At 39.3% G+C, this 23275-nt stretch overlaps 2 gene segments (V, D, J or C) and 1 further gene, besides 4 other annotated features; all 3 read right to left on the bottom strand.

Annotated features, from left to right (window-relative positions):
- Positions 1-23275, bottom strand: part of IGK (immunoglobulin kappa locus) — a 1378008-nt gene that overhangs the window by 55808 nt on the left and 1298925 nt on the right.
- On the bottom strand, positions 6149-6662 carry IGKV3D-11 (immunoglobulin kappa variable 3D-11). The segment is given in 2 exon segments: positions 6149-6444; positions 6614-6662. Coding segments are annotated over 2 exon segments (345 nt in total), but the record flags the coding sequence as incomplete, so codon positions are not given.
- Positions 6434-6444: a sequence feature (IGKV3D-11 leader sequence).
- Positions 6614-6662: a sequence feature (IGKV3D-11 leader sequence).
- On the bottom strand, positions 19226-19701 carry IGKV1D-12 (immunoglobulin kappa variable 1D-12). The segment is given in 2 exon segments: positions 19226-19521; positions 19647-19701. Coding segments are annotated over 2 exon segments (351 nt in total), but the record flags the coding sequence as incomplete, so codon positions are not given.
- Positions 19511-19521: a sequence feature (IGKV1D-12 leader sequence).
- Positions 19647-19701: a sequence feature (IGKV1D-12 leader sequence).

Genomic DNA, 23275 nt, shown 5'->3' with positions numbered 1-23275 from the left:
ATAAGCTTGATCTTTCATAAATATTTGATGATTCTTATTTCTTTGTTTAGGTTTATTTAAAAGAGTCTAGGTTTGTTTATTTTATTTTATTTTATTTTATTTTATCTAAGGTAAAACACACAGTGCAAAGGGTGCAACTCTTAAGGGTGCAAATGAATGTCAAGATCCAGATCATTTCATGTCATGATCCACATCAAAATACAGAAGGTTTCCAATTCTCTCGCTGCTTTCATTATGCACCTTCCCAGTCAAAAACTGCTGCTCAAAACACAATCAATGTAAATGATATTCTGACATATATTATAATTGTTTTATTCATGGACTTAAACTTTATATCAGGTAAAGTAAACATTTTTTGTAGCTTCTTTCCAATTTTTTTCATTTTTTGAGGCCTTGATTCCTTCTTGTCAATTTGAGTTGCTGTCTGCTGTCATTTTCTGTTATTCTGAAGAATTTTCTCTTGAATCTCTTACAAGGCATATATGCTATTAATGAATTAATCTTTGTGTATGAAGGAATATTTCTACCTTGCTTTTATATTTAAATGATTGTTTTTCTGGATATAGAATTTGTGGCTGACTTTTCTCCCTCAGTATTTAAAAATATCATTCCACTGTCTTCTCACCTCCATTTGTAATGATGAAAATTTAGCCAATGATTTTAATATTGCTTCTTAGTATAAAGTAAGTCGGTATTTTAGTGATGCATTTCAAATTCTCTGGGTCTTTGTCTTTCAACACTGGTACTATAATGTGTATAGTTATGAATTGTACTGTGCTTATACTAAAAGGGTTTCACTGAGTTTCTTTCATGTATAGATTAAGGTGTTTCATCACTGTGAAAAATGTTTTTCATTATTTCTCCATTTTTTTCTTTTTCAATTTTTATTTTAAAATCAGAGCATACATGTACAGATATGTTACAAAGTTATTTTGCATGATGCTGGGATTTGGGGTATGACTGAACTTATTAAACAGGTAGTGAGCACTGTACCCCATAGGTATTTTTTCAGCCTCTGCCCTTCCTCCCTTTGTCTCCCCTCTAGTAGTTCCCAGTGTCTATTGTGCCCATCAACCGTGGATTGGATAAAAAAAAAAACTGTGTATAGATACACCATGGAATCCTATGCAGCCATAAATAAGAAGAAAATCATGGTCCTGCAGAAACTTGGATGCAGCTGGAAGTCATTTTCCTAAGTGAACTAATGCAGAAACAAAAAAACAAATACCACATGTTCTCACTTATAAGCGGGAGCTAAACATGGGGTACACATGGGCGTAAAGATGAGAACACAGTTTTTAGCCTCTTCCTGTCTTCTCCTTTGTGATTCCTAATACAAATTTGTTGGTATTGTTCACAGGGACCTATAATGTCTGAGGTTTTATTCATTCTTCTTTATAATTTTTCCCTTCTTTATATGAGGTCATTTCTATTGACTTCTTTTTCAGATCACTGACTCTCGTGTCATGTTAAATTGCTGTTGAGTCTATCTAATACATTTTTCAATTGAGTTGTTGTACCTTTCATTTTTCGGATTCCCAGTAGGTCTGTTTTCATAGTTTTGTCTCTTTTTGAGAGCCTCTATTTGTTGAATCATTGTCTTTACAAATTCCTTTTTAAGTCTTTTATTATAGGTTAAAATAATTATTTGAACATATATTTGATAAGGGTGGAGCACACAGACACCATGGAGATGGACCATAAGGCAGGGAGCTCAGAATTGGATTAGTTGAATTTGGAGTCTCTGACTAGATGGTGCTCTTGTGAGATTTAATTATTTTCCATGTTTCATGTTTCTCACAATACAAATAGCTTTTATTTTTTAAGATGGTAACTATGTACAGAAATTCAGCTTATAAATTCCTGGGAATTCCTAATAGGAAAATTGATGAAAAAATGGTTTCTCTTAGGCCCCCATACCTGCCTCTGCCTGGGACCTGACTTTGTCTCTGAGCCGGTGGAATCTATGATGAGGTTTTGAGTTGGGCAGTGAAATCATGGCAGGGCAGGCTGTGCTCTGGGTGCTGTGGAGGACAGGGGGACACTCCTTCAGGGTCAGTGATGCTGGGAGTTCAAGGGGAGACTCAGCATGGAGCTGCCTGTTGAGTCGCCCCAGCAATCCTGTCTGGACAGTGATCATCTCACAAGTGTACTCAGATGCCAGTGGATGGCCCAAATGTGGGTTCACGTTGGACAAGGACAAAGCTTTAGGGATGAACATATGGGGCTCATTTGATAGTCTGAAGTTTCAGCACAAGCGTAATGAATCATATGGGAAAAGAAAGGAGTCACAAGGTTGTGACTTTTCATTTGGTATTAAAATATATTCCCTCTGCTCATTTTTCCCTCCAGAATGTAACTACTGATACATATTTAACCAAAGTCATTGTTTTTAATTTTCATTTTAGTAACTGACAGCCTGTGTGCAGAGTTCCTAAATAACTGGAAAGCCAGGCCGTCATTCCTATGGCTGAAGCCAGGAAGTGACTGTGGATATGAAGAAATGTGAGTTTCATGTACATGTCTCTAAAGCCATGGGCCACTGATCTGGTGGGAACCTGCAGTCATTTCACTTTCTCATACCCAGATGAGAGGACACCTTGATCTGTGTTCATCTGATGATCTGATGAACTCTAAAAACTGGACCATATTCTGAAGGTCTAGCTCACACTTCTTTTCTGTGCTAGAGGGACTCTACTCACATGTATTGTACACTCTGCATAGGACAGTCTGTGATACATACAAGTTTTTTTCTGCTAAACACTCATCAATCTTGTCATTTATGCGTCTTCTATACTTGTTACCTGACCTATGGCTATGGGGTCTTCCAAAAGAATAGGCCAGAGGTGGAGCTGTGAAACTGTAGCTGAATAAGAAGTGTAAGTGTCAAGATAGGGTAAAAAAGTGTTGATAATAATAATAATATTTCAAATTAGTCTGGGCTCTTGGCTGTGATTACTGGTAAGTGGGAAAGAGTCTAGGTTTGTTTTTTTTAAGTTTTATTTCAATTGATAAAGTAGCCAGGGTAAAGTGCACAAATCTTGAATGTGCAACTGAATAAAGTTTATGTGTAATTCATTGTCCAGGTGGAATGATAGAATATTTCACATACTCTTGTGCTTCCCTCATGGACAATCTTTGTCAGTTTTCGCCCCTCCCACCCAGCCATAGTAACTGTTATTCTGACATCTAACACAATCACTTAGGTTTTCTTGTCTTGAACTTCACATAAATAGCATTAAGTGTATTTTTCTCTTTTTAGCCTTGGTATTGCTCCTTACAATGTTTGAGGCCTTCATTTCTTCCAGTGGACTCAAGGTCCTGTCTGATGTCATTTCCTGGGATTCTGAAGGATTTTCTCTCAAATATCTTATAAGACATAGCTGTTATGAATGAATGTACTTTTTTATCAAAGAAATTTTTTTTTTGCTTTTTCTTTAGATGTGAAGGTATTTTCACTGGATGTAGAATTCCTAGTAGACTTTTTTCTCCTTTCAGCATCTAAATATGTCATTTCACTGCTTCTAATCTCTATTGGTCCTAATGAAAACTTAGCCAATAGCAATATGTTGTTTCTGTGTATTGGTTGGGAGATGATGTTTGACAGTGATCAGTTTGTGAAGCAGAGGCTTATGTCACAATACTTTCCACAGTACTACATTTAAAAATGGCGAATGGCCTTTCATTCTTGATGCAGTGAAGATTTTCTGTCTTTCAACATCTTAATATAATGTGTTCAGTTATTAATTTCTATTATCTAAAAGGGTTTTATTGAATTTTTTCATCTAAGAATATTTTTTATTACTTTTGAAAAGTTTTTGTCATTATTTCTCCAAGGATTTTTTTTTCAGCCACTTTCTCTGTCTCTCCTCCTTTGTGACTCTCATTATACTTTTGTTGGTATCCTTCACTCTGAGCTATAAATCTCTGACGTCTTCCTCCTTTTTTTAAACATTTTATTTAGACTCAATAAGTTCTATTCCTTTATTTTCAAGTTAACTGATTATTCTGCCATCTCAAATTGTTATTATACCTAGCTAATACGTATTTAAATTGGATTATTTTACTTTTCATTTCTAGAGTTCCAATTTGGTCATTTTTTATATTTTCCATGTCTTTTCTTGAGGCCCTACTTGCCGAATCTTCTTAATATTTTCTTTTTTATGTCAATGATCATAGTTTTAAAAATAATTATTTGAAAATCTTTGTAGTCTTTACTAAATCCGATAATTACGGCAAGTTAGAATCAGCTTTCGTTGACTATTTTCTGTTGTCATTATTGTAGTTGCTTTATTTTTGTTCCTTTAATATTGGTCATTCTTCTCATTTTTTTCCCAGGAGCTGTTAAACTGACAATTTTACATTTTTGATAATACAGTACCTCTCTTTAGATTATGGGTTTTTTAATTTTAATTTATTTTTTTAGAAATAGGGTCTTACTCTTTCACCCAGGCTGGAGTATGGTGGTGTGATCATAGCTTGCTGCAGCCTCAACCTCTTGGGGTCCAGTGGTTCTCCAGCTTCATCCTCCTGGGTAGCTGGGACTATAGGTGCATGCCATTACTCTCTGCTATTTTTTTTTTTTAAATTGTAAGATATTTTGCCCACCCAGCCTGGTCTCGAACTCCTGGCATCCAGTGATCCTTCTGCATCAGCCTCCAAAGTACTGGGATTACAGGCTTGAGCCACCATGTCAGGCCTGGAATTTGTTTTGTTTTTCTGATCATTTTTTAATTTTCTTCTTAGTTACTTGGGTGAACTTACTGATAGTACCTGACTTATGATGCTTGGAGTTATAACTTTTTGACTTTCAGATGGTATGAAGGTGATATGCATTCAAGTAGAAATAGAAATTCTAGTATTTATACAACTATTCTATTTTCTCTTTCAATATAGTATTCAATAAATGACATGAGGTATTCAACACTTTATTGGAAGATAAGCTTTGTGTAAGATAATGTTGCCCAAGTGTAAGCTAATGTAAGTGTTTTCAGCACATTTAGGATAGGATAGGCTGAGCTATAATGTTAAGTGGATTAGATGTATTAAATGCATGTTCATTGCATGAGATTGAAAAATCTATCTCACGTGGTGTTTGACCACTGATATCTCTGCTTCCTTTTATTCTTAATATTAATATTTAGTTTGAATTTATAGGAACTGCACATGTATCTGCATAGTGATGTGGTCACCAATGATTTGAGACGTTTTGCTCAAATATCTGGAGGTTATAAATCTATCTTCTGTCAACCCATCTGTGTGTAGTTTAAAAAGCAAACTGCATACAAAATGCAGCTAGTTCTTACCTCCTTCTGGTTTTACTTTGCACCGGAGACTCCTTGTTCTCATCACTCATATCTATATCTTCTAGGTCACTAGGAATGTGTGCAGAGATTATTTCAGCAATATGGGCCTATCTTATCCAGGAATCTGCTATTTACTATCAGCAGATGTACTACTTGCCTCAAACAGGTCATTGTCTTGGACTTGTAAAGCTGTGAGATTTTTCTGTTCATTTCCTATGGAGTTCTGCATGTTTAGCTGGAAACACTGAAGAATTTTTTTCCACTCCTTGGCTTTACTCAAGTCCACCCCCTTTGGCAGCAAGCTGCTAGTTTTATTTGCTACGCTCATATTGGTAAAACTCCAGTTCTGTAATTCATGCTGATTGAGCTGGGGGTAGAAGGCTGCTGTCACAGGCAAAAGGCTACAGACATTTTCTGTCCTTACTCAAAGCACTGGTACTTTTTTTTTCTACAAAGAATATGCATCCTTAATTATTTTATACTTCACCAATTTTCAGAGTGCTGAAATAGTTTTGATACTTCAGCTTTATATTTAAATGTGTGTTTGTTGTTTATTTTTGCACAGAAGATTTATTGAACTCTTTGTGATGCCATAAACAGAGATGCCTTCTAAAATGCATTTAGTTGAACATAATAGCCACACTGAAATGGTATGATGCAATGGACTAACATAAGTAATTTTGGACTTGACAACTTGAACTCCAAAATGGCCAAATAGAGCTGAGATGCTAACACTGAGTGGCCACCCCACTAGCTGTCTGTAAAGGAAGCAGCTGGTATAATAATCTAGTAAACACTGATGGTCTTGTTGGGGTTTTTGTTTCATGTGGAATCACTGTGGGATGCCAGTTGCTACGCTGCTGACAGTAATAAACTGCAAAATCTTCAGGCTCTAGGCTGCTGATGGTGAGAGTGAAGTCTGTCCCAGGCCCACTGCCACTGAACCTGGCTGGGATGCCAGTGGCCCTGTTGGATGCATCATAGATGAGGAGCCTGGGAGCCTGGCCAGGTTTCTGCTGGTACCAGGCTAAGTAGCTGCTAACACTCTGACTGGCCCTGCAGGAGAGGGTGGCTCTTTCCCCTGGAGACAAAGACAGGGTGGCTGGAGACTGTGTCAACACAATTTCTCCGGTGGTATCTGAAATTGGAAATAAAACAGAAATGCACTCATGTAATCAAAATCAAACCCACTGTCTTTGAGTAGAGCCAAAATTGTTGATCTATTTTGAATTTTAATTATATTTCTTGCTGAGCAGAGGTGGCAGGAGTTTTCACTGATGTGCAAAACCACCTCATATTCCCCTCACCTGGGAGCCAGAGTAGCAGGAGGAAGAGAAGCTGCGCTGGGGCTTCCATGGTTCCGTCTGGGTCCTAACTGAGCAGTTCCTCCCCAGAGCTCTGACCCAGGCATTGATATGGGCTCTGGAAGGTAGGGCAGCTGGGAGGGACATGCAAAGCAGCTGGGGTGGGAGCTGAGCTTCCAGCTGCAGAGACCACCTGTTTCTTCCTCTCTGCACTGAGCATCCTGCGCCGCCCTGGTTGTCAGGCCAGAAAAGTCTGTTGGCTCAGTCTGAGTGTAGAACTCCTCCCTTGTGCTCAGAGAATTTCATTCCTATGTCTTTCTTCTCCTCAATCACCTAAATTCACCCAGATGATGTTTGGCACAAGCCTGTTAAGAACAATATAAAAGGCTGTGTTTTCATTTCTGTCTTCCTATCCTCAATATGCCCAGTCATCTCCCTAAGTGCATTATTGGATCGATGGAAATGAAGAGTCTGTTAGAACTTAATCTTCCAGATACACCTTTCATTTGCTTGTTAGTAATGTTTTCTGAGGGTCCTGAAGCTTTCCATTAACCCAGACACATACCCTCTTTGAGTTAAAAAGTGAAAAACTTCTGTTTACAGTCACATGTCCTGGCAGCCCTGACATAGATGCTCCATGGCTTGCCGATTGCTTGCAATTGATCAAGTAACTTAACTTCCCTATGTCTCAGTTTCCATATCTGTGTAACTGTGACAATACTGGTGCCTACCTTACAGTGCTGTAGACAGTTTAAAGAAAATAAGATAAAACATTTACAATAGTATTCAGGACATTATGTATGCGGCAGTTAATTTTGTTTTTATTGATTAAATATTTAGCACTACAGTCATCATCATTATCATAAATATACTTACTTAGCACAGAAAAGAGTCTTCAGTCTAATCCAAGAATGTTTTATCAACAGTCAAATTAAATTCTAGGGCTTTTTCTTCACCAACTGTACACATCTCTTAAAATCCTAATGATTTGGTCTTAATCTGTACTAAAATGCTCAGACCTTCAATCATTCCCGCCCATCTCTGTCTAACGCATTAATTCTCATCATCCATTATCAAAATGTTACCCTATGGAAGTTTCCCATGTCCTGCTGCTGTCCTTCTTTCTTACATAATCTTTATTCTACCTTGTTATCTTTTGTCTTACTTTTGCCCCAGGACTGACAATAAGGAAAAGCTACCATCATTACTTGTGGACTTGCTCCAGTATAATTTTGTCAGGCTTGTTATCTTGGAAGTGAGGACTATGTCTTGCAAAGAAACATATTCATTGGGTCAATGTGTTATGAAATAAAAGATTTTATCTACTTGTCATCCAATAATTAATTTAGACTGACTTGAACAGATTTTTTTTAAGGACGAAAAGGAGAAGATGATATAAGAGGAAAATACAATACAGTATCAAATGCTAGCTATTATGACTCTTGCTTCATGGATTTTTACATATATATTAGGCACATGGTGTGTATATGTGTGCAATGATGATCCAAAAACTGAATGCTGACTGGCATAAGGAATGCCTGCATTACACTGAGTCTTGTCTACTTTTCCAATTATGAACAGAAAGCTGCAGTAGTATTTGTATGAGTATCAAAACTTCTAGCTGCCTGAGATAGAGGTAGAGCAGATTTACTGAAATAAAAGCCTTGGAAGTAGTAGAGGTTTGTCCTGTGATGTTATGGCTGTTGCTGTGGTTGCTGTTGTTAGGAAATACAGTGGGAGTGAAAGCAAGTAGAAGATTGACAAGCTCTGCTCTTCCTCATACTTACAACCCCCTCTAGAGATGGACAGATGCTGGTACAGGAATCTCTGACACCTCTAAGGAAGTCTCTTTGCTTTTTCCAGAATCTTTCCTGACAAGTATTGTATGAGTCACAGATGAGGTGGAAGTGGGTGTAGAAGAAAGGACTAGAGCGAGAGAAGAAGTTTTCAGTCCCAGGTAGTTGTTGTTGCCACGGGGAAACTGAATTTTTCAAAGATTTGTGCCACACTTCTATCGTGTTGGGGAGAGAGGCATCAAACCAGGCTCACTCCTGAGAGAATCATTACATTATTTTAGAGAGAAGGAACTGTAAATTTCTTGTCAAATAGATGTTTAAAATTCAAAGCTATCAAGACCATCCTGGCTAACACGGTGAAACCCCGTCTCTACTGAAAATACAAAAAATTAGCTGGGCGTGCTGGCGGGCACCTGTAGCCCCAGCTACTTGGGAGGCTGAGGCAGGAGAATGGCATGAACCCGGGAGGCAGGGCTTGCAATGAGCGAGATCGCGCCACTGCACTCCAGCCTGGGTGACAGAGCGAGACTCTGTCTCAAAAATAAATAAATAAATAAATAAATAAATAAATAAATAAATAAATATAAAAAAAATTCAAAGCTACTGATTTTTTTGTTGTTGTTGTTGAGATGGAGTCTTGCTCTGTCACCCAGGCTGGAGTGCAGTTGCATGATCTTGGCTCACTCCGTTTCCCAGGTTCAAGCGATTCTCCTCCCTCAGCCTCCCAAGCAGCTGGGATTACAGGCGTGTGCCATCACACCCAGCTAAATTTTGTGTTTTTAGTAGAGACGGAGTTTTGCCATGTTGGTCAGGCTGGTCTCGAACTCCTGACCTCTGGTGATCTGCCCGCCTCGGTCTCCCAAAGTTCTGGGATTACAAACATGAGCCACTGTGCCTGGCCCTACTGATGTATTACTATTATTCATCTTCTTGAATACAGCAAGTGGTAAGGTGCAAATCCACAATTTAAACTTGAGATTTCTACTCCTATGTGAATTATACCAGTGAGGAACAGAAAAATTCTGTATTGCTTGGGAGATGATGTTTGACAGTGATCAGTTTGTGAAGCAGAGGATTATGTCACAATACATTCCACAGTATTACATATAAAAATGGCGAATGGCCTTAAACCCAGAAGAGTCTGCATTTCTCATGAGCCATACTACCCCCAAGAAAGAATTGAATTGAAACTTGTGTCTACTTGATGAAGGGTGTATAGGAAGAGGGAAAGAAAAAAGGACACAAAACATAATATTGTAAATGGAAAGGAGAAAGTCATTACACAGCCTATTAGAGTAAAAAACTAAAGAGAGGCTAAATGAGTAACTTTTTGGCTACTAACTTGAGAAAAGTGGTGCAATCTTCACCTCCTGGGTTCAAGCAATTCTTGTGACTCAGCCTCCCAAGTAGCTGGGATTAGAGGCGTGTACCACCACTTATGGCCCCCTTTTTTTTTTTTTTGCATTTTTAGTAGAGACATGGTTTCACCATGTTGGTCAGGCTGGTCTTGAACTCCTGACCTCAAACAATCTGCCCACCTCAGCCTCCGAAAGTGCTGGGATTACAGGTGTGAGCCACTGTGCCCGGCCTTAAAGCAGTATTTTCATTTAGTAAAGTGTAGAAGAAAAAACATAAATAAAGTGACAACAAGAAAACAAAATGCCATTATGAAAAATGGTAACTTTAGGGCAGAAAACAAGAAAAGGCAAACCAAGATTCTCATAAGGTAAGCCTCCAATCCACAATCCTAGGAGGAATGTCAATGCTGAAAACCCTGGAGCATCCAGGGAGTGGCCAAAAATACTAAATGCTGAAAACCCAGAGTACCCGAGTATCAGCCTATGAGTGTCCCCACACCAAATGCCAGGAAACCCTGGAATATCCAGGGGCTGACCAGTGCAGAAAATCCTGGAGCCTCAGTGGGGTGGCCAACAGTGAGCCCCAAAGGCCTGATTGGGACCACAGAACAATGTGACTCTGGCTTCTTATGGCCAACAGAACAGGAGAATTCTTACATCCAAGTGTCCTGCCTTAAACAATTGCACAAACACAATTAGCAGGGAGCCAAAGCCAAAACTGCAAAGCAAACACATATATCAGGGCAGAAAATAAAATAAAATGGCTGATGGATAAATAAAATGGCATTAGAGGAGAAATGACTAAGAGAAGGAGCAAGGAGGATGTAGTCAGGTGTGCTATGGAGGACTTCAAATGGACTATGGAGTCAAAGGCCTTATTCCCTGGATCTTCCAATATAGGGCAGGTGGGCAGAGGGGACACTTACAGGTGTGCAGGAGCCAAAATGGTGCCAAGCAGTCTCTAACGTGGGGCCTGCGTGAAGATCTCTCCAGGCTCCCCAGCTTGGGTGGGTTGGGCTCCTACGGAGGAACTGGAGCACGGAGCGGCTGGCCTGCATGAAGCAGTGGCTCTGTGACCACTTGCCCATCCCCAGGGCTCCACCGCCTGTCAGGAAAGATGATGGCTCTTAAAACAGCCTTTGGCTAGTGTTAACAGCTCTGCAATGTTAGCAACTCTGTAGCTTTGATCGCTGTAGCACTGATCACCGTCTCACCCTCTTTCACTGATCTCTGTCTTCCCAATTCTCCAATAGCTGTCCTGCTCATTGCTGACCGCTATGTCCATCTTCTCACAAAATCCCATCTCTTGCTGTCTCTTGTTGTCTTGCTTTCTCTGCTGTTTCTGCTGTCTCACTGCCACATCAAACGCTGCCTCTCACCATCTCTAGAGTTGAGTGGCTGGCTTAATCCTGATGCAAGGCAAGTTCTTGGCTTTGCTCAGGAAAGAACGTTAGAGTAAGCCGGTGATTGAATAAAACAGCTTTATTGATGGGGCAGCAGTGTTACAGCTCTGTGACTAAGCCTGTGGAGCAGGCATAATTCATAGGCAGAGGGCCAAGAGTAGCAGCCAGGTGCAGTTTTACAGTCACATTTATACCCACTTTTAATCATGTGATAATTAAGGGGTGGGTTATCGAGAAATAGCTCGAAAATGGGTCGTGTTGCCCCAACTTCTGGGTGTTGCCATGGCAGGGCAGCAATTTCCAGGTGTTGCCATGGCAAGGCGCTGCGACTTCTGGATGTTGCTATGGCAATGGTAAACTGTCATGGTACTGGTGGGTATGTCTTACGGAGAAGTGTTTTCAGAATCCTATTCCTGTTTTGGCCAGCCTCACATCTGGTCCAGAGTGAAGTCCTGCCTACCTCTTACCTCAAAAGTAACAAGAAATCTGTAATAACAAGTTACCCAGAAAAAACTCCAAATTTTATTTGGTGGTTAGTGACATGGTACTTATCAAAATTACACAAACTTTCAAGGGAATAAAAAAATACTCAGAATTATTATAGGAGGTCATAATGTCCTCCAGTCCAAAAATTAATGAGGACATAACAAAAAAAGGATATTAAAGGCTGGTATCTCTTATGAACATAGACACAAAAATCATAAGAAAAAAATGGAATCCATCTGTGTATCTACACATTTAGTGAACACACGTTGTAAAAAGTGTTACAGTTTTTATGATAAGAACTCTTGATAGGTAATTTTAATTTCTGAAAAATGTATATGAACTATAAGGTATGTTGGATCTCTTTCCCTAACTTAAAAAACATTTCCTTGCATTTAAATATTTTCCAATTTTTAATAACTTTTTATTACTTAGACTTTTAGTTGATATAAATAAGAAATGTGTATTAAAAGCCTACTGTTTTGATTTAACCTATGAAACACATTTAAATTCTTGGAAAAATCCAAAAATACCTAGAAAAGTGAGCTCTTGCTAGAAGATACGCAGTTCTTTAGTGTCAGGCTGAGATTATCTACCAGAAATAACTTTTGGCTCATGTAGCTTTCAGTACACTGCAAGAATAAAAGATGTGAAGACAACATTACCTAATTGGATTTGCAATTACTCACTATTCACTGTTAACCAATTTTATTGAAAAAAAATGATTCCAATCAAATACTCTGATTTTAAATGTACTGTTGAACAAGTACACTCATGTAAATGCCTCCAAAATCAATACACACACATTTCTATAACTCCAGAAAGTTTTGTCCTGCTCTTCAGGAATCAACTTGCTTTCCACCTCACAGAACAGACCATCCTTGGTCAGCTTATTGTTAGTATAGATTTAACTTTCTTTTTAAGAATTTTACATAAATGGAATATAGCACGTGTTCTTTCGTGGCTGGTGACTTTCATGCAGCATAATTGTTTCCTAGGCTCATTCATGTCGCCCTGTGTCCTCATGATGTGTTACTCTTCACTTTTGGGTACTATTTAACTGTGTAGTAATTTCACAATGTATCCCACCACCTGCTGATAGATATGTGGGTTGTTTCCACTTTGGGCTATTATGGATAAAGCTACCATGAATGGTATTATACATGGCTTTGTATGAATATTTCTTTATTTCTTTTAGGCAAATACCCAGGAGTGCAGTTACTGGGTCTTACAGCAAGTGTTTAATACTCCGCCAAACTGTTTTCCAAAGTAGTTGTACCATTTTACATCTCAGCCCAGAATTGATGAGCGTTCTCAATGTTTCAGCTACTTGTTTTTAAGAATTTTTCTTAATCTTCACTCAACAGTGACCAGAATGGCTAATCATCATTAAGTCATGTTTTCCTTACAATTCTCTTGACTTTTGTGGGTGTTTGACTTGTATTAGGATATTGAAAACAGGATCAATATTGTCTAAACCCCCTTTCAAACACTTTTCCTAAGTCATGATATTTAGGATGATAAGAGGAGATCTAAAGGGACTGTTGGTAGTAGTAACAGGCATTATTCAATATTTATTATCATACTCCATAAGGCAATACATTTTGAGTGAAATAGCATTCAATTAGACTCAGGATAAAAAGCTTCTAATCTCAGCTTTAGCATTAAATATTAGGAAACCTTTGAGAAAACAATCCAGGAAGACAAATCAGAGTGTTTTGCTAGTGGAGAAGTGCTGCTACACCTAAACCCTATTAATGCCAGATCTTTGCAGTGATTTCCACTCATAAAGTTGGGTTGACTCCTTGCCTTGTTCTCCTATGTGTCTGTGTTACTTCATGCTGAGGGGATGTGACATCACAGAGGGAGAAGTGCACTTGTGTACAGAAACATGGCTTAGGAGATTGGCTTTGGATGTGGCTGCAATGAAATATACGTTTTGAAGAAGTTCCCTATGAAATGTCTTATAAACTGTTTCTTCTGGCCAGGTGCTCGGGCTCACACCTGTAATCTGAGCACTTTCAGTGACCAAGGAGAAAGGATCAGGATCATGTAAGACCAAGAATTTGATGCAAGCCTGGGCAACATAGGGAGACCCCATGTCTACAACACACACACACACACACACACACACAATTTGTGAACAATGTCATCACAAAGTGATTATTTATGAACATTTGCTCAGAAAATTAGAAAATAAAGCAATATCTTCTGAGCTAACAATACTATAATAAAGACGTTAGTTATTTAACTACAGTAAATACAGAGAATATAAGATTGTCTATCTTAACCATACTTGAGAGTACAGAGAAGTGGCATTAAGTATATTCACATATTCTGCCATTATTACTGACACAATCAGTAAAAATCTTTTCATCTTATAAAAATTAATATGTATACCCCTTAAACAATACTCCACCCATTTTCTCTATCCCTACCTCCAGAAACCTCCATTGCAGTTCTGTCTTTATGTCAATGACATGTTTGAAGCAACTTCACTGTGCACTGGTTACCAACGTACTTGAGCGTGGGGGAAGAGAACACCCCCCACAGCAAGTTACATGAAGTGGGTTTATTATTACAGATAAGCAGCAAGGGAACACAAAAGTCTTGGACTCATTATGGGTCAGTCCCCCAAGACACAGGAAAGCTATGTGGAGCTGATGGAGTTGAATATGTGTACCCCACATACACCACAGTGCAGGAACCCAGGAAAGCAGCCACTCTGGGTTTTGTATCCTGGGGTAAAAAGACACACAGGGCTGAAGTGCTAATGGACATTCTATTCTATGGGAAACTGGTATAGAGGACAGGTAGGTTGTTCTGCTCGGTTCCTGTCTATCTCAGGATGTTACAATTCCAGCACGTTCTGCAATTGTACTTGAGAACTCTTAAAATAAGCAAGAAAGTGGAGAGAACTAAGTCAGTCCAGGGTCATTGCAGAACGGTCTTGCAGTTATCCCATCCCCCTTAGCAAAGCTAGCATACTTCATATGCCCACCAACTTCCCCTGAACTGGAGGCAGAGGTTTATGTTTTCAGATTGATGAAGCACCTTGACTTACACAATCTCAATGCAGATTATGAAGCCATAGTGAGAGTACATTTCACTGGGCCATGAAAAGCTAGTACCACTGGTAGGAGGATAAAACTCCCCAAGCAGTGACTAAGATGTTAAGAGGTGAAAGGGGGATCTTTTGATGTCCTATTGTCTGCAGCCAGTGAGCCTGCTTTATGATCACCCCTACTTGTATTTCTAGGATATCTGAGGTGTTTATCCAGGTACAGCAGCCAGTGTTGGGTGTTGGTAATTGCATGGAAAGTCCATTGGTTTCCATGAGAGTGTGCCCATTGTTATGTTGATTGGTCAGTGAGGCTGTTTCTTGGTCAGAGTGAAGTCTCATGGAATATCCAAAAACATGACATAAATTCCTCTGAAGGGTGGCCATGGTAGCCCCAGCATCTAATAGAGTGACATATATTTAGCTGTCCAGGAAGCAAGCTATTGCCATAGTCCTTTTCTCCACTCATGAGATCCTTTAATAGTTCAGTCACTCAGTTGCTATTTTCCTGACCAGACAGCTGGGCTGTTGGCAATGGCCCATGATTTAGTGGAAATGGAGCAAAATATAGTGTTGGGGGCAGCCTGCATGGCTACTATCATTTCATGTAGTTTGTCCCATTGGGCAGAATGGCCATGTTCAGTGTCAGTCAAAAGATGCCATCCCCTGGCTGGATGGTGGCTGCACCCAGTGGATCCACTGGCATGTGTTTTGTACAATCATCAGGGCCCAATGCCATACTGACACAGGCATGTCTCTGAATCTTTGGCTCTATGTGGCCAAAGGAGAAGCTAAATTGTCCCCTATGGGCCATTTCTTCCCTTCTAGCAAGCTTGCCATTTATTCATGGGGCACATGGGTCCTGTGGGATCCTGGTTAGGGCTGATTCTGACTGTATCATTTCCATTTAATGATTTGGATCTGTTGGGCCTGTCCAGTTTTATTGATTGTGTTTGTAGGTACCAAAGTGAGAATGGTTAGTTAAGGTCGCAGCGTCCTGCCTGGTGCTCTAGCTCTGAGATACTCAGCCCCTATCAGTTTCCTACAGCAAGCAAGGAGCTGCCATTCAAAAGAGGCACAACTGTTGGCTGCTTCAGGAAATTTTGTGTCCAAAATCTGAGTCTGGTGCACCCAGTGACACTAGAATCACCTGACATCAGATGTTAGTCTGAGCCCTGATGTGTGATACAATGTGAAGGGTTCAGGAGGGGTCATTCTTCTTGGCAAATTAGGTGTTCAGAAGAGCCAGTAGCACTCTAAATCTCGGTTGGGGGAAACTCAAATTATTGAGTCCCCACAGAGACCTCCATAACATTGGTTCATGAGACTCCCAGGGAAAGCTGGGAAAGATGACTGACTGAAGCCCATGTGTTGAATCATTCTCATTATTAAAAGCCCCTGCTCATTAATGGCATTTCGATTAGCATCCACTTGGAAAGCATTTTTTTTTTTTTGGATTATGGCTCATTTTAAAAACATCTAGTCATAGCTCTTCCACAATGACTTTGTCTGTAATCATCCTGTTGCATTTCTTTTAAGGTCTGATGATCTGTCAAAACCAACAGCCAATATTATTAAAATGTTATTCTCTTTGCAATGTGATCATCAGACGTTGGCCTTGCAGTTTACCCACTGTTTTGATTTTTACATTTCCAGGGCTTCCTTGACAATGGCACTGATGTGACTCCATCCAGCATCCATTGTTGTGAGAACTCTATTTGGCATATCATCATTGTGGGCATGAACATAATGGAGACTTTCATAGGATGCAATGATTAATATTCAACATTAGTCAAAATTTCTTCTAGTCCTACCCTTGGAGCTCTACTGGGTTGGAAAATATTTTCGGACAAGGACAATCATTTGGTAGAGTTTTAAAAATAAAGGCTACAAATAAATTTTCCATAGCAAGAGTATGAACTATGTGTGGTCCAGAATACAATTTTTTATGGAATGTAACAAAAATTATTTAAATGTATTCAATTTAGATAATAATTTTACAAATAGGCATATATTGCATATATAATAGAATAAACACACTTAAGTATGAGTACTATATATATAGCCAACATTTTATCAAATAATATATTGACTTGTATGTATCTTACATACATGTATGCACATTTTCCCATAAATATGGTAAATTTTAATTTTTTATTGAAATATTAGTTTTAATTTTGTCATTAATTTTCTAAGTTTATAATTTGATTACTAAATATTTACATTTATGCCACTAATTTAAGAAAAAATACGTGTGTATATATAGGTAGAGGTGTAAATACTGTATCAGGAAGCTTTTATGCATTAATGATTGGTAACTGGCTAAATACACAACTCAGTGACAGAAAATAGTAAACATTTGTTTTCATGTTCATGGATGCTCACGTTCACAGTAATCTGGCTGATCAAGGAAGGGTTCAGGTGAGTGGTTTCTCTGCATGGCACTGAGCTCGTCTTCAGCCTACACATATCAACTGTCTGAGGACAAGGCTGAACAGCAGTGACTACCCATGACTCAAGATTCTTCTGGCAGGTCACAAGAGTGAACAACATCCCAAACCAAACTGCACAGGTTGAGTTTAAGTCCAATAATTTCTAACATAGCTTCACACATTTCAAATATATTGCTTTATTTCAGTGAGTACAAATTTTTAAGAAAATGTTTACTCCATTTAATTATAGAGGTGTTTGATCATTCCATGGACAAATAATTATGTTTTCAACCTTTACAATATTGAAAATATTTGCAAATGTAAATTTGCATTAATAAGAAAATAAAGCTGGATGTGTTTTCAACATGTGGCTTTAAGTATAATTTATTTAAATGGCCTCATGGGGGAAAATCATTTTAACTTACATAAATTCTCATTTTGTCTCTCTTGTTTCTTATAGAGTTGCCCAATAAGAAGTCCTCCCATGAGATTTGGAAGTCCGAAAAGGATGACTCAATATTCTCCATTGGTACCTAAGACAGACACAGGGACAGAGATGAGGACTAGAGAAACACCTGGAAAGATGCTGTAGGAAGCTGAGAGCATCAGCACCCCCACCCCTAAGCTTCCAGACAGGACTGAGGACCATATGGTTAGAAAGCCCATACTTCAGAGGAAGATGCATTCTGTTGCCTGAGGGAGGATCAGAGATTCCTGCTTCTAATATCAGCTTTCATGACTACTATATCCTTGGCTTTGAAAGGTTGTAGTGGGAAACTTAATCTTAGGAATTTGGTCATTCTTGTCATACCCAACAGAGCAAAGAAACCAGTGGGGAAAGGCACTCAGGGTGCAAAATATTGTTTCTAGAATGCAATTGTAATAGGCCCTATTATCCCATGGAACTAATGTTTATGTTTTTTTGTATAAACATAGAAATTGACTCCCCCAGTCTTAAAACTCAAGATAGTTACATCTGTCTTATCTGAGTTTTTTGTTTGTTTGTTTGTTTGTTTGTTTGTTTTTTCAGTAAACCAATGAACAGGCCTCCCAGATACTATCAAGGAGCTGAAACTTACATATCACTGAATTGGGACAGTGAGACATCAGAACCTTCACCCATTATGATTGCCTCACTGACCTCCTGCTTCCTGTTGACCAAATTATCTTCCTTACCCCTCCCTAATTCCTGTTTTCCCACATTTCTTCCCTGCTATATAAACTCCTAATTTCAGTTGGTCAGGGAGATACATTTGAGAATGGTATCGCATCTCCTCGGCTGCAGCACCTGATTAAAGCCTGTTCCTTGGCAATGCTTGTTGTCTTAGTGATTGGCTTTCTGTGGGGTAAGCTGCAGGGTCTTCACTGAATCCCTGGCATTTCAGTAACAAAATTCTCTGCAACCTTCACTGCTTTGGCTTATTGTAACCTGAAATCAAATTTGTCCACAACTTCTGAGATAACTTGATATAATTCTAGGATTCATTTTGCCCACCACTGCTTACCAGTCTGAGCTTGCCAGCTCCCAACCCTTCCTAGAGCCAATGAACTTTCTCAAAGAGCCACAGGTAACATTTTCCCTTTTTCATAAAATGCTAATTTTCTCTTCGTTCTTCCAATATCTTGAAGACCACTGAGTTTTCCTGTATGCCCCACCTGGCAAATATTTCTTTGCAAATAAAACTTAAATTTAGAGATTCATCTCTACATTTTATTTTGACTTTAGTAGTTTACTTTAATTCTCTGTATTAAGACGATTCCTGCTTAGAATATCTATAGTGGCTTCTTCTGTGTTATATGAATTCAAGCTGAAGCCATAAACTAGACTCCTCAAGTGTCATGATCTCTGTATTTATCAAATCAGGAGATGCATTGCTATGTCTGTGCAGTTGGGGCTGAGAAAGAGAAAAGAATTAGGGTGCAGAGGCGATTTCACGTACCCCTCTACCAACACCATCAGAGTGTGGCTGCATCTGAGCAACACTCTCAGCCAATGGAGGCATCAGGAGGAGCAGCTGGGGCAGCCCAGCTTCACACATCTGCTTCCCTGGGGGTTTATGTTCGGGTTGGTAACACTGTGGAAGGGAAACTGTTAGCCTGTTGACAATAGTAAGTTGCAAAATCTTCAGGCTGCAGGCTGCTGATGGTGAGAGTGAAATCTGTCCCAGATCCACTGCCGCTGAACCTTGATGGGACCCCACTTTGCAAACTGGATGCAGCATAGATCAGGAGCTTAGGGGCTTTCCCTGGTTTCTGCTGATACCAGGCTAACCAGCTGCTAATACCCTGACTCGCCCGACAAGTGATGGTGACTCTGTCTCCTACAGATGCAGACACGGAAGATGGAGACTGGGTCATCTGGATGTCGCATCTGGAACCTGAGATTGGAAACATAAAAACAAATGTCCACACAATTAATCATGCTGTAAGAGAAGTTCCCTGAATAGTAAAGCAGTACTCAGCACACTGGGCTGAGTAAATTCCTAGTGTTCTCCTTTCTTACCTGGGAACCAGAGCAGCAGGAGCCCCAGGAGCTGAGCGGGGACCATCATGTCCATGCTGTGTCCTGAGTGGGTCTGACTCCTGCAAGAAGTGTGACCAGCCTATTAAGAAGTCTTCAGGCAGGAGGTTGTGTTCTGGGAATATGCAAATGAGCAGAGGATGGGGCAGGCTGGGCACAGCTGCAGGGCTGGCTCATCTCAGTAACTCAGCACCAGTTCAGTGTCCCCAGGTGTCCCAGGTAAGACCAGGGTAGCACAAATTTGTCTGCAGAGAATGTGTTTCTACTGGGAACTATTTTGTTGTGAGTAACATTTTTTGGTTTCTTTTTGACGATTTGAAATATTCCTCAGGAGTTGATGGACTAATGTATTTCATTGGTGTATGGGGATTATTTAGGAGAATATTGTTGTTTGTAGGAAACACATAGTAAAATGTTAGACGGTACAATTCTCAAGTCTTCAAAAGACTCTTATATGATTCCGGTTAGGGAAGGGGGTATTTGTCATATACATGCAACATTTCTGTGAGTTTAACATTGTTCCTATGTAAAAAAAATTAAAAATAAAATTTATTGACATGATGGTACATACATTTGTAAGTATCAGGTAATGGTGTTATGCCATTGTTCTTACCAGTATGCGATCAAACTATGTACTATAGATACACAAAGATGATACCGTGTTTTCTTGATGCATGCAGCAGTCACAGATCCACAATTATCAAGAGCGACAGGTCTCTATAGTACTCAGACACTAAATGGGCTGCACCTTATTCTTGTTTTGGGCACCTTCATAGTCTACCTTCTTTTCTGCCATTCAATATTATTTCCCAAAGTTCATCTCTCTTACTGAGGGTGACCACTGCATGGAGCATGTCCCTGCCATGCACCATCAATGACACTTTCCTCTTTTACTTTTTATCAGTGATTGGGGAAATCATCCTGACCCAGACACCAGCCTCCCTGTTAACTGCTTTAGGAAAGAGACACTGAATCTCTTATCAAGCAGTTGCCTATGTACATGGAGAAATCACTTGGATCCAGATGAAACTGGACACGGATTTGCACTCGTTATATCTCATATCTCTAATGTGCCCAAAAATGTCCCAGCCTGACTTAGTAGCAGGGAAAGTGGATCCAACTACATCAGCATCAGTGGGCTGCCACCTAGGACTCCACAAAATTTTACTGATGCCTGACTAGGGGAGCCAAATCACAGTGCTGCAGGCTGTGCACAAACCTTCCTGCTGTTTTTTAAGCTGCCTGAATTTTAAGGGAACTTGCTTACATTGGGAGAAAGGAAGAAAGCTCCATTTGTCCTCTAAATATTTGCTGAAAATGAATGGACAAAAGAAAGATTAATAAGAGAAAAGGCAAACAAAATTCATTTGAAGTGCAGCAGAATATCATAGCAGGGTGATTACCCAGATATCTCAATGGGATACAGTTGTTTGTATTTCTTTTCTAAGGAAGAGGGAATTGAGAAGTGTAGGCAACCTGGAGAGAATAGATGAGAACAGAAGTGCATCCTCAAAAGAACAGGTCATAGCCTGTCTGGATAAAGCATCAACTTCAGTCTCTTGTATTTTAGATTCCTCTTTTGTGTTAATATTCCCTGATGTAAAAATTCTCAGGAAGAATTTTTTTGACAATTGGTTTCCTTCTGGAGAATCTGCTATTATGCAGATAAGGGACATTTAGGAAAAGTCTTTTTGTGCATTTGGTGCTTTCTAAAGGTCTTTGGTTTTACATAATCATCATACCAGTGCAGCATAGTTTGAGATGTTATTTTCTGGATTCCTTTACTTGCAACCCACCTGCCAAGATCCTGTTCCAGAGAGATGCAGCTACAGATTGAATGAGCAGTTGACCCTTGAACAACATGGAGGTTTGGGCACTGACCATGGGTGCAGATGAAAACCTGTGTAGAACTTTTGCATTTCTAACTCCAGGCATCATCTTGAAAGTGGAGAAAGCGGACCTTAACCTGCCCATGTCTTGATCTTTAATTTCCCATTCTCCAGAACTGTAAGAAAATAAATTTCTGTTCCTTATGAATTACATAGTGACAATGAATCTGTTATAGCAGCTTGAAATAGAACAAGAGAGACAGCGCACAATCAGTGAGGACACGATGAGGTGTATACATACCCCAGCTTCCTCATCTCTCAGGTGGAATAGCCCAGAGGAACTTAGTCCATGTTTCCACATGTGGTTGATCTTTGGTTATCCTGAGTCAGGTAGGTTGTTGATGTGTCTTTTTCCATTCATCTTCTGTTCTCTTCCTCACTTTCCTCCTTTCCTCCCAGTGTAAATTTGCTGCCTAAACAGGGATCCTCATTGAGGGTGGACCCAAACTAAGATAGTTAAAAAAAAAATTGTTAATCTTTTGTAAGAGGGATATTTCTCATCTGAATTCTGATAATTTCTTTTTCTTTGACATGTAGGAATATTCAGGAGGCACTTAATTTTTTTTTTTTACCGATCTGTTTTACATTCAATTTGTGAACTGATTTTGTTTTTCTGTGTGTTAAAACCAAAAATTAAGTTGTAAGCCACCAACCTGCTGAATGGACTCCTCTTTTGTAAAGAGCACTTCAAAGAAATTTGAAAAACTAGGTTAGGCCATGACTGGCAGGTGGGTTTAGATGTGCCTCATTATACTTTGGAGTTCAGACACAACTGACCAACATTGTCATTACAACAGAGATCTTTGGACTGACAAAACAGATGCTTTGTAGCATTAAGATACCATATTCCAACATGACAGATAATAGGCCCTGAAGAAAATCTAAATATTTTACCTTAAAAATATTTCTTCATCATATTCTGAAGTGGTTCTGCAAAGCTGCCAGTTGTGGGGGAAATTTTCATTCTATAGAGAATCTCCTCCCCTTACTAAGTCTTTTTTAAAGTCTGACATTTTTTAAAGCTCTGATAAGCAACATTCACCGTGTACTTTATCTGCTACTGATAGGATTCATCTACATGACAAGAACCTTGGCTTCCACATCCCCTTTTCTACACTCAAGCATTTCTTTATGATGAATTCAACTCTTTAGACAGACCTTAACTCTTTCAACCAGTAGCCAGTAAGGAAAGCTTTGAATCCACCTATGACCTGGAAGCCCCTGCTTCAAGCTATCCCACCTTTCCAGGACAAACTAATGTATATCTTATATGTATTGATTTATGTCTTTCCCTGTATTTCTGTGTTTCCCTAAAGTGCTTAAAACCAATGTGTAATCCAACCACCTTGGGCACATGTTTACAGGACCTTCTAAAGCTGTGTCACAGGCCATAAGCCTTATCTTTGGCAGAATAACCCTGTAATTTGATTGAGACCTGTCTCAGATACTGTTTTGTTTATACTGGGTCACAAAATTTAAAAATCCTCTAAAACTATCTACACATCAATAAATCTACATTAGAGACAGTGGAGTGAGCATACCCCAACAGATAAAACTCACAAGTTAGAGGAACCTGAGTCTAAGATTTTGTCCACCTCCCTTGATTCATAAAAATACTTCGTGATTTTTTAAATTTTACTTTAGAGAAGGACAATTTTGGGGAATATGTTTATGGTCGGTGGAATGAATAATGTCCCACCCCAAAGGATGTCCATGTCCTCA

The sequence above is a fragment of the Homo sapiens genome, chromosome 2, assembly GCF_000001405.40.
Source record: "Homo sapiens chromosome 2, GRCh38.p14 Primary Assembly".
In the NCBI taxonomy this organism is placed as follows: Eukaryota; Metazoa; Chordata; class Mammalia; order Primates; family Hominidae; genus Homo; species Homo sapiens.
Note: the sequence above shows the minus strand (reverse complement) of the source record. Positions and strands in the feature narration are given on the sequence as shown.